General features: G+C 37.1%; 1 long non-coding RNA gene across 1 annotated transcript in view, besides 3 other annotated features; it reads left to right on the forward strand.

Annotated features, from left to right (window-relative positions):
- Window positions 1-13,115, forward strand: part of LOC112268263 (uncharacterized) — a 47,142-nt gene that overhangs the window by 10,757 nt on the left and 23,270 nt on the right. The window lies entirely within an intron of this gene.
- Window positions 3,027-3,076: a silencer, noted in NCBI's record as "silent region_933". NCBI's record gives its function as "represses an Ori minimal core promoter by ATAC-STARR-seq in GM12878 lymphoblastoid cells {active_cell/tissue: GM12878}" and the evidence as "EXISTENCE:reporter gene assay evidence [ECO:0000049][PMID:35858748]".
- Window positions 3,027-4,237: a biological region, named in NCBI's record as "P300/CBP strongly-dependent group 1 enhancer GRCh37_chr1:59192522-59193721".
- Window positions 3,038-4,237: an enhancer, noted in NCBI's record as "P300/CBP strongly-dependent group 1 enhancer chr1:59192522-59193721 (GRCh37/hg19 assembly coordinates)". NCBI's record gives its function as "activates an origin of replication core promoter dependent on BRD2, BRD4, P300/CBP, MED14 and CDK7 cofactors, with strong dependence on P300/CBP, by STARR-seq in HCT116 cells {active_cell/tissue: HCT116}" and the evidence as "EXISTENCE:reporter gene assay evidence [ECO:0000049][PMID:35650434]".

A 13,115-nucleotide genomic window follows, 5' to 3' on the forward strand; every position in this document is an offset into this window, starting at 1 on the left:
TTTTCAAGGTTCATCCATGTTGAGTACTTCATTCCTTTTTGTTGCCAAATAATACTCAATTGTATTACATTTTGTTTACCCATTCTTCAGTTGATGGACATTTGGGTTGTTTTCATTTTTTGGCTAGTATGAATAATGCTGCTATTATTTTAAATTCTGCATTCAAAATTTACTGAGTGGATGAATAAATTAAGGAAATGCAATTATCATACAAAATAGGCAGAAAATGCCATATCTGTAACCTTAACAGAATTTTCATTCTTTTTTTTGTCCTGAACAGCAAGAATAATTGGAAGTAGCACAGCGGTAACTGAAAGAAATAATAAAGGCCCAACAGAATTCAATAGAGCAGATGCACATTGTCGGCTTCAGGCTGACCAAGGAAATCAGAAGTTGTGTTTGAGTTTTGTACAGGTTATGATGGCAGTCTATGGGGCTTTGTTTACCAACTTGGCTTTGGTGGAAAGTTTTTGTCTTACTCTTTGTAATGTGCTTAATATAAGCCATTCATCGAAAGTGTCAAGAGAAACCAGCAAACTTACTAACCATGACTCTAATTCTTTTAGGTCATTTGTAAATTTGAGGAAATTAAACACATTATTAGCAATATGGGCAAGAATTGCTTATAAGCAAGGGCATAGGGCAAGTTAGGAATCGGCTTAACACTCGACCATTTACTTTGCTGTATGTCAGAGCTGGAAGCTTGGGGGTCTCCCTGAGGTGCCAGTCTCAATACTCCCCACTGGTTCTGAACCAGTTGAGTCAAAGAGAAGATAAACACACCAGATTTAGACTGACAAAAGTAGCCTCACCCTGAAGCAAAATTGGCTTCTTCATACTTAGCTACCTAGACACAGCTGGGCAAGCAGCCCTCCCCCAAGAAACAACCACCTGCCTCACAGAGCAGAAGGAAGAGAAAGCTCACAGGTCACAAAATGGGAAGGAAGGGTGGGCCATGTGGGAGCACCAGTTTGAATACCTTAACCCCAGCCGATATGGGATTGTAGACTAATGGAGGCTAAACTATTGTGAAACCATCCATCACTAATTAGTTAGCAAGAGGCAGGAGGACCAAAAATTTTATTCTAGCAGAATGCCCTGGCTTTCTACTGCTGCTTTACAAACCATTCCTAAACCAGTGGTTACCTAGACAGAGTACAATTTTCTCTCACAGTTCTGTTTAGCTGGGTGGTTCTCACTCAGGGTCTTTCATACAATTATAGTCAGAGATGGTGGCTGGCTCTGGAGTTTTCTGAATACTTCTTCACTTGTGCCTGGTATGTGGGCTGGGATGGCTGGTGTGCCAGGGCATCTCTTCTCCCATTGGCCTCCCTACTTTTCTAGCTTGGGCTTCTTCACAGCATGAAAGACTTAGACTAATCAGATTTTTTTTTTTTATGTGGCAGCTGACTTCCCCCATAGCTAATTTTTCTAGAGGCCCAGATGAAAGCTACAAGGTTTCTTACAAGCTGGCTTTGTAAGTCCCAGAACATGATTTCTATTACATTCTGTTGGTCAAGCAAGTCACTAACATTAGCTCAGACTCAAGGGGTGGAGAATTAGACTCCACTAGTCAGTGACAGGAATAGTAAAAAAATTACAGCCATGTTTAATTTACTTTACAGAAATGCCTTCATGAAAACATAAGGACAGGGGATAGCAGCTAACAATGCTTGAAATACTATATGTCAGGGACACATTGCATTATCATGTTCACTCTCACAAGAGCCCACAAGGTGAAGTGTCATTTTCCCCATTTTACAGGTGAGGAATCTGAGGCCCAGAGGTTAAGTTACTTGCTGGTCAATAGGTGGTAGAGAAAAACAAAAAACAAAAACACTGTTATGTCTGATTCCAAAGCCTTTATTATTTCTGCTATACCACACTATTATTCATCTATTATAAATCTCTCATTACACAGAAGAGAAAATTGCACCCCCTTAAATGCTTTTGAACTAGCAGACTTGGAAAACAGTAACTTTTATGACAGTTTCACTGGTTAAATATTTGCTCTGGTCCAATATTTCATAAGTTAATTTTGAGCAAAATCCATACTCTACGATATGGAGTTCCCTATTAGGTGGGAAAGGATGCTTTCAACCAGGACCTCATCAAGGGAGCTTTCCTGGAACCCAGAAGGAGATCCTATCACCCATCAGATTGCCAGAGGATGAAATTTCTTAGAAGCCCCTCTCACATCATGCTCCCCGGTTTTTCACTTAGAACACTATAGCACTCTTACTCCATCCTAGAATCAAATCCAAGCCCTTACATTAAATAAAACTCTTCATTAGTGCTTGTCAACTCTATAACACCCACTTGTAGTAATACACATTATACGTATCTCCTTTAAAAATCCTGAAATAGGCCAGGCGTGGTGGCTTATCCCTGCAATCCCAGCACTTTGGGAGGCTGAGGTGGGTGGATCACAAGGTCAGGAGATCGAGACCATCCTGGCCAACATGATCAAACCCCATCTCTCCTAAAAATACAAAAATTAGCTGGATGTGGTGGTGCATGCCTGTAATCCCAGATACTCAGGAGGCTGAGGCATGAGAATTGCTCAAACCCAGGAGGCAGAGGTTGCAGTGAGCCGAGATTGTGCCACTGCACTTCAGCCTGGCGACAGAGTGAGACTCCATCTCAAAAAAGAAAAGAAAAAAAAAATCCAGAAATAGAAATCATACTACTGACGCACCAAGCTCAAAGACAACCATGAAGGAAAAATCATGAAGAAGAAGCTAGAGGAGTGTATTTATAATAAAACAATATACATTTTAATAAGCAGATGCTGGAACACATCTATATTAGAAGAGATACATTACTAGTGGGTCTCAAATAATGATGAAGAACTAGTTAAAAAATTGTTTTATGATCTACTACTGTCCAATATATTTGTAAAATATAATGAAACTACTGTGGTAAAATGCAACGGCTACAGAGGTTACTCTTACTTCCTGTAGGTAACTGTCAGGGGACAGCTAACAGTTTGTAGACCTGTTTTGGTCTTGGATCCCACTTTGAGTGGCAATGCATCAGATCAATTAATGTTCACAGTAACCCTACCAGGTAGGTATTATTTGGAGTCTCCATATTATAGATGAGGAAATTGGGGCACTGAGAGATTAAATAACTTGCCTAAAGCTCAGATTCAGACTCAGGCATTTTGACACATTGCTAATGCTGGACTTCACAAACATACCTGTTACAGATACAAAGTAAGATTTGGTATCCCTGAGGTGTGCACAGTCTACTGGAAGAAACAAACAGAAAAATATTAGATTAATAATTTTGGATTTTGACAAAATGTTTGTCATCAAGTAAAAATTCAGGAGCAAGGCCATCAATCCACTGAAATCCCCCAAGACTCCAAAATCCCCCTCCAGGCAGCTTTTCAAGAATTTTCTCATTTTACCTCAATATGAATGCACAAATCTTTGAAACATCCAAATCTCCAGCTCTACCTCTGACTCTCGGTGAGCCCAAGTTTTGAAAAGGCCTGGGGTTTGGGAGAAATGATGCTAGTCATTCTCAAGTTTAGCATCTTTTTGAGAAAGAGTTGTGCCCTTTGTGAAGGAGTGTGGAGGGGATATGAGAAATTAATTGGCACATCTGTTCTCATGTCTGTTCATGAGCAGCTTGTGATCATAAACAACTCATTTAAGGGCATTGTCAGTCTCTCCCCAAGAGGTACCACCCCCATAACATTTGTGGACTGCACACTCTGGCATGTGAATCACCTTTTAGAATGAGTGACTGTTGACTCACCCTTCGGAGAGCTTCCTATTGAGCCAGTATTTGCCCTAAAGCCTTGGAAAGAGAACAAAACAACTTTTGAAGGAAATGAATACCATTCCTTTGTCAACTGTGAGACTGTCACAGCTAAAAATGGGCTTCACTTCCCGTGAACAACAGCACCCAAGTTTCTGCAGGCTGCTGAGGCTTAGACCTACCACGCTGGATAGGCAGCTTCCTGAATCTTTCCAGTAGTGCCACTCAGGGGACATTTATTGAGCACTTACTATATGCTAGGCACTATACAAAATAATTTACATATACTATTTCATTTTATTCTGAAAACAAATATAATATGAGGTAGATGTTATCATGATTTCCATTTTACAATTGATTTAAACTGAGGCACATAGTGGTTAAGAACTTGTCAAAAGTCTGAGAGCTGGAAGGTGGAAGAGCCAAAGTATTTGACTCCAAAGTGCTTGCTCACAAATACCGAGCCTTAGTGAGCATTAGACTCCAGGAAGGGGCCTCAAGAATCCAAGGGAGAGTCGGGAGCGGTGGCTCATGCCTGCAATCCCAGCACTTTGGGAGGCCGAGGCGGGCGGATCACGAGGTCAGGAGATCGAGACCATCCTGGCTAACACGGTGAAACCTCGTCTCTACTAAAAATACAAAAAATTAGCCGGGTGTGGTGGCGGGCGCCTGTAGTCCCAGCTACTCGGGAGGCTGAGGCAGGAGAATGGCCTGAACCCAGGAGGCGGAGCTTGCAGTGAGCTGAGATCCTGCCACTGCACTCCAGCCTGGGTGACACAGCGAGACTCCGTCTCAAAAAAAAAAAAAAAAAAAGAATCCAAGGGAGAATTCTCCTATATTTACTGAACAATTGCTTTGACCTCGGTCCCTACACTACGATGCACAAATATGATGCAGAGAATATGGCATCACACATGGTCCAAGGTCCTTGGACTTTCATCACCCTGTGATGGGGATTCAATGTCTCCTTACAGAGTTTGGGGAAGGAGCCACGAAATACTGTATGAAAAGCATCTCACTTAAGCCTGGTCTATGGCAGATACTCAACGTACATTATTCATCTGTCCTCTCCCACAACACTCATAAAAAACACAAGGAATGTGTAGTTGCACAAAGTAGATAGACACACATTCTATAAGCACAGTACTGAGGGAGGAAACAATGTAAAAAGTAGAGTTTTTGAGGCATACTTACAGATACCAATAGGATATTGAGCATCCACTGTGTGCCAGATATATATAAATATATATAGTGTGTGTATTATATACATAAGTATAATATATTATTAAATATGTGATAACAAATTATTATACATACTATACATGATAATATTTATTATGTATATAATACTTATTTTACATACATTTATATTATGTATCATATATACAATATTTCATATACAATAAAATATCATTATATATGTAACATATAATTTATGTACAATAAGATATTATAATGTATACTTAATATATAATATATACAATGATAGATTATTGGGTACACAATAATAGATTATTATAAATGCAATATATAACTATTACATATTACATATTATATATGATCATTATATATTATAATATATAACAGAAAACCTGTAATTATATATAACATATAATAATACATAATTATATAATATGTCATGCACTATAATATAATAATATATGATTATATAATATAAATTACATATATGTAATATATAATCAAAATTACATATTATATGTAATATATAATCAAAATTACATATTATATGTAATATATAATCAAAATTACATATTATATGTAATATATAATCTAAATTACATACTATATGTAATATATAATATGAATTACATATATTAATATATTATGCATTTCACATAAAATGATATATTAATAAATGATATAATATATAATAATATATAATATAATATTGCACATATTATATATTATACAGTATATGTACATATATGTACATATACTGTATAATGTATTGCATATAATGTGTATATATACTATATATTATATATTATATATGCGTCTGTATGTATAGTACACATATATTATATATGCGTCTGTATGTATAGTACACATATATTATATATGCGTCTGTATGTATAGTACACATATATTATATATGCGTCTGTATGTATAGTACACATATATTATATATGCGTCTGTATGTATAGTGCACATATATTATATATGCGTCTGTATGTATAGTACACATATATATGCGTCTATATGTATAGTACACATATATTATATATGCGTCTGTATGTATAGTACACATATATTATATATGCGTCTGTATGTATAGTACACATATATATGCGTCTGTATGTATAGTACACATATATTATATATGTGTCTGTATGTATAGTACACATATATTATATATGCGTCTGTATGTATAGTACACATATATGCGTCTATATGTATAGTACACATATATTATATATGCGTCTGTATGTATAGTACACATATATTATATATGCGTCTGTATGTATAGTACACATATATATGCATCTGTATGTATAGTACACATATATTATATATGCATCTGTATGTATAGTACACATATAATATATATGCGTCTGTATGTATAGTACACATATATATGCGTCTGTATGTATAGTACACATATATATGCCTATGTACGTATAGTACACATATATTATATATGCGTCTGTATGTATAGTACACATATATATGCGTCTGTATGTATAGTACACATATATATGCGTATGTATGTATAGTACACATATATTATATATGCGTATGTATGTATAGTATACATATATTATATATGCGTATGCATATATTTATATACATATATTATATATACATCTATACATATATTTGTGCATATATGTATACATATATATATATATGTATACATTTATTGGAGTCAAATACTTTGGCTCTTCCACCTTCCAGCTCTCTGAGTTTTAACAAGTTCTTAACCACTATGTGCCTCAGTTTAAATCAACTGTAAAATAGAAATATATATATTGTATATGTATACATATATTATATGTATATATAATATATAGTATATATGATAATATATTATATATGCAATATATAATATGTATATGTTATACATATTTACATATTATATGAATATATACTATATGATATATAGTATAGATACATATTATATGTGCGATATATACTATATAGTATATATACAACATGTATATTATATAGTATGTATACAATATGTTATATATGTAATTTTATACAATATATTATTACATATATGATATATAATTATGTAATATATATTTTTACATATATATGTTACAATGTATCATATATATTAACATATAATATAATGTAGTATATATTATGTTATGTATAATATAATATTACAATTGTATAATTATATAATAATTATATATCAATAATCATAATATCATTACATATCAATTATATAATCATACATATTATATATTGTATAACATATAATACAATGTTATTATAAAATATAATAATAATATATAACATATAATAAATGTTATATATGTAAGATATATTATATATTATACATTAATCCTTATACTGTACATATGTAGTGTATATGTAGTATATATGAATGATATGTTATATATTAATATTATATGTAACATATAACATTATATATTAACAGCATATAAGATTATATATTAATTTTATATATTATCATAACATATAACATATATGTAATATTACATGTTATCATGACATATATTATTATATATGGTATATTACATATAGAATAATGTGATATATAATATATGTAATAATGTATATTTTATATGAGTAATAATATATACACTATGCATAATATATTACATATATTATATAGATCATACATCATATACTACATATATTATTATATATCATATAGATTATATCACATATATTAATATATGTAATAATCTATATGATATATAACATATGAAATAATCTATTACAAATAATGTATTATATATATTAATATACTCTTTTAAAGTCTCAGCATGGGTATTATTCTTCACATGTGATACCAATGAAACTGAAACAGAGAGTTTAGGAAACTTGCCTAAGGAATGAAACCTAGTATGTCTCAAAAATTACCTTTCAGTTAAAGGGCGGTCTTGTTTATGTTGAATGTGCAATGTGGTAGCTGAATTGTATAAAAATAGGTTTGGTATTACCTTGAAGTTTGTTTCAAAACGCCTATAATTTCATGCCCTTTAGGTACATTTTTATTTTATCTAGACCTCTTGATATATAATGACAAAAGTAGAATTCAGGTATTTCTGTGTTGGTTCTGGAAAACAGGCTTGAGAGAGAAGGTGACAGCTGAGCATATCTGTGAATTCAACGGCCAAGGTGTTGACAATGGATGAAATGCATCATGAACCTGGTGTGTCAACAAGGTGGATTAGGGTACAAGCTGAAAATGTATGTTTAGTGGAAGGATGAGGGGCTCCACCCTTCCAATTGGTTTCCCACAGTCTTGCCATGAATGCCTCACTGAACTTGCCCAGTTTTGGTCAACCCCAAACTTAAAGTATGGACGCCTGCAGCACAGCAATGCCCAAGCTTAGTCAACATGTTTGACCTGGTTGAAATCCAGAAATTGAATGAAGTGAAAGTTCTGGTGCATCCAGTTATAGCTGAGATTTTAATGCCATCAGATACGTTTGCTATTCAACTCATGGCCATGTTTCTACTTGGCAGCAGTTTAAGACATTGAGCAAAGCCAAATATGAGGCTTTGTCTATTACTAGGTTGGACTGCCTGCAGAAATATGATTCACAGCCATGGAAAATGATGACTGGATTTGGTAAAACAGTTTTTCTTGTTTTCCTTATCACTTAGTAAACCAAAAGTTAACAGAAAGAACTCTTGGGACAGCTTCCCATTGTATGTGTGAGAGCCTGGATGTGAACCTAGGTCTTTGCAACTCTAATGCCTATGTTCATTTTACATAGTTACACTGTTCTCTAACAATATATGTGAGAACTGAGTTATGACAAGTGAGTAGACATTTTCCAGATGGGTTACGAGACAAAGGGCATTTTAAGCAGAGACAACAGCATAAGCACAAGGCCTTGCATTATGGCAGAAGGGCCAAGATGAGGTCAAGTTGCACAGATAATGTAAGGGAAGACTTCCCATAAGAAGTTTTGAATGCATTGAAATACGTAACTCGTCATTCATTACTTCGGTAATTCAACAGTTATTTATTGAGTGCCTTTACATGTCAGGTAACATGTTACAAAACTGGAATTGGAAATTACTCAAATCCTATGTCAAAATATCACTGCATAGGCTGGGCTCAGTGGCTCGTGCCTGTAATCCCAGCACTTTGGGAAGGCAAGGCAGGTGGAACACTTGAGGTCAGGAGTTCGAAACTAGTCTGGCCAACATGGTGAAACCCCGTCTCTCCTAAAAATACAAAAGTTAGCCAGGTGCAGTGGCACATGCCTGTAATTCCAGCTACTTGGGAGGCAGGAGAATCGCTTGGACCAGGGAGGCGGAGGTTGCAGTGAGCCGAGATTGTGCCACTGTACCGCAGCCTGGGTGACAGAGTGAGACACTGTCTCAAAAAAAAAAAAAAAAAAGAAAAAAAAATCTCTGCTTATATCTAGAACTTCCTCTCCTCCTTTAAAACAAACAAGTCTGAGAGGCCAGGTGCGGTGGCTCACGCCTGTAATCCCAGCACTTTGGGAAGCCGAGGTGGGCGGATTATGAGGTCAGGAGATTGAGACCATCCTGGCTAACACAGTGAAACCCCGTCTCTACTAAAAAATACAAAAAATTAGCCAGGTGTGGTGGCGGGCGCCTGTAGTCCCAGCTACTCGGGAGGCTGAGGCAGGAGAATGTCGTGAACCCGGGAGGCAGAGCTCGCAGTGAGCCGAGATCACGCCACTGCACTCCAGACTGGGCGACAGAGTAAGACTCCGTCTCAAAAAATTAATAAATAAATAAAAAAGAGTGTCCCGCAGAACAACAGTTCCTTGGGATATTAACAGGTAAAACAAACAAGTCTGTACAATTTTGTCTCATTGGCAAAACTAGCAGCTAAAGTCCCTTAGCTGGCTTTTGAGTGAAATAAACTATGAATACTTATAATAGATTAAGAGGCAAGCATAAGGGAAAGTAAAGATAAGCAGAGAAAAGTGACAATATCTTTGGGCTGGGGAGGGCCTTGTCTGTCATATGGTTCAACCTGTTTATTCTGCTGAGTTCTGGAGTGAAGGGACTTGCCCAAGCTCTCTTCATTCCCTGTATTGGTTCCTTTCTTCTCATACTCCCTGCCAGGGTCTGCCTTCAGTGTCTCATCATGTTTCGCTTGGATTGTTATAGTAGCCTTCAAACAAATCTCCCCGCTTTTACACAGCAGCTCAGAGATAATTCAGAAAAGCAACTTCTGGATTTTACTTTGTTCCTCAAAGCCGTTCAATATCTTCATGTTGTCTCAGGTTGTGCTCCCCAAACTGTTGTATGTGACCAGGTCCCAGAGCCATAAGCTAAACATAATATCACTTTAAAATGCTAATTTTACGTGATGGCTAGTAACTAAAAACATCATTTTACATGAAAACAAATGAATATATTATAGCCAAGATGAAAAATTTGGATGGGCTGAAATATTTCAAAGAATTTTTTTTTAGTTGTAGCAGTTGGTGTCAGAACCCTTGCATATTAGTTCATACTCATATTACTATAAAGAAATGCCTGAGACAGGGTAATTTACAAGAAAAGAGGTTTAATTGGCTCACAGTTCTGCAGGCTGTACTGGAAGCATGGTGGCATCTGCTTCCGGGGAGTCCTCAGGGAGATTTTCATCATGGCAGAAGGCAAAGAGGGAGCAGGCACTTCACATGGCAAAAGCAGGAGCAAGAGAGAGGGAAGGGGGAGGTGCCACACACTTTGAAACCACCAGATCTCATGAGAATTCACTCACTGTCCTGAGGACAGTACCAAGGGGACAGTACTAAAACATTCATGAGAAATTGTCCCTATGATCAATCACCTCCCACCAGGCTCCACCTCCAACATTGGGGATCACAGCTCAACATGAGATTTGCAGAGGGAACACAGATCCAAACATATTACCTTAGCAGCACAAGTTTGCTCTTTCCGCCATAAGAGGTGTTTCAGTGGGAAAGTTTATAATTTCTTGGCCCATAGAATAAATGCCAAGTCATTAGTTCATATCCCAGTTTCTCCAAGATCTGTTCAGGCCTGCTTGCCACTCACCCTCTTCTCTTTAATAGATTCTTGGAGACTCCACTCATCAACCATCCCATACCACTTGTATTAGTTTGTTCTTGCATTGCTATAAAGAAATACCTGAGACTGGGTAATTTATAAGGAAAAGAGGGTTTAATTGGCTCATGGTTTCACAGGCTGTAAAGGAAGCATGATGCTGGCATCTGCTCAGTTTCCAGGGAGGCCTCAGGAAACTTTTAATCATGGTCGAAGGTGAAAGGGAAGCAGGGATGTCTTACATGGTCAGAGAAGGAGCAAGAGAGAGAGGGGAGAGGTGCTACACACCATTACACAACCAGATCCCATGATAACTCACTGGCTCACTACACAGTACCAAGGGAGGATGGTGCTAAACCATTCATGAGAATTTCACCCCCATGATCCAACCACCTCCAACACTGAGGATTGCTATTCAGCACGAGATTTGGGCAGGAACAGAGATCCAAACCATATCACCACTTAAAATAGTAACTACTGCCGGGCACGGTGGCTCACGCCTGTAATCCCAGCACTTTGGGAGGCCGAGTTGGGTGGATCACCTGAGGTCAGGAGTTCGAGACCAGCCTGACCAACATGGAAAAACCCCATCTCTACTAAAAATACAAAATTAGCCGTGCATGGTGGCACATGCCAGTAATCCTAGCTACTTGGGAGGCTGAGGCAGGAGAATTGCTTGAACCCAGGAGGTGGAAGTTGCAGTGAGCTGAGATCGCACTATTGCACTCCAGCCTGGGCAACAAGAGCGAAACTCCATCTCAAAAAAAGAAAATAGTAATAATAACTACTATAGTCTCCAAGGTTTAGTAAAAAATGAAAACCACTGTAGGTATCTCAAACAGGAATAAATTTTATACAGGAAATTAGAAGCTTACAAAACCATTAGAAGAACCGGCAGAACAAAGGTTAGGCGAGCCAACTGCCAGTGTTCAGGACGTCAGGAAGCGCAGCCATGGCAGGAAGCTGCTGCTAATGCTTTGGGCTGTCTGCAGCAGCTAAATGGGTTATGTTCAAGAGCGTGGCTGGAAGGTACAGCTCCAGAAAAACTTCACATCTGCCACCAGCTGAAAACCAAAATACTGGCTTTTGAGTCTCTTTTGCCTTTCAAATATTGCATGTATGGCTCTAAGCCCTGAAACTTTGTGATATGGGCTGAATGGTGTCCCCTCAAGTTCACATGTTGAAGTTCATACCCCCCAGTACCTTAGAATGTGATTGTATTTGCAGATTTACCTTAATCTTTTTAAAAAGGGGTTAAGGTAAAATGAGGTTATGTGGGTGGGCCCTACTCTAATATGACTGATGTCCTTATAAAAAGAGGAGTTTAGGACACAGATAGGCACAGAGAGAAGACCACATGAAGACATGGAGATGAGATGACCATCCACAAGTCAAGGAGAGACTTCAGAAACCACCGCTTTCAACACCTTGATCTTGGATTTTCAGCCTACAGGACTGTGAGACAATAAGTTTCTATTGTTTAAGCCACCCAGTTTGTGGCACTCTGTTATGGCAGCCCTAGCAAACTAACATATTCTGGGAATAGGGATTTTGCAAGACTTAGTTATTAGGTTTCTAAGGGCAAAAATGGTACTGAGTTGCAAGAGACAATCTGGCACAGTTGCCCTATGCTAGGCTCATGCTGAGGCCCAGTCATGGCACAAAGCACTTCACACATGTTATCTTGTTTAATTTAAGCCTCATATCATCCATCAGTAGTGGGAACCTAGGTCAGATCTAGAAGCAGATCTCTTTGTGCTCTATCTGGTTGCATATGCACTTTCTTTTTTGGTCCACTCAGGGAACATCTATTGATCTTCAAATCGACGTTAGTTCTTCTCGCTCTTCACCCAATGCCAATCTTCTCCCTCCCCACAGAGCCATTTCCTTCTTTATTTTCCCAAAACCATAGCCCATATGGATTTCTATAATAGTACCTATGCAGATTCTATGCATTTTTACATCTATGCATTTGTTTTCTCCACTAAACTCTAGGTTTCTTAAGAGCAGAGACCACATCTTGTTTGCTTTTGCACTTCCAGAGCCCAACTTTGTGTCTGATACATGGTTTTTCTTCAGGGTGTGTTGGAAGAAAGTGGGAGGAAGGATTCAAACCG

The sequence above is a fragment of the Homo sapiens genome, chromosome 1 (assembly GCF_000001405.40).
Source record: "Homo sapiens chromosome 1, GRCh38.p14 Primary Assembly".
Lineage (NCBI taxonomy): Eukaryota > Metazoa > Chordata > Mammalia > Primates > Hominidae > Homo > Homo sapiens.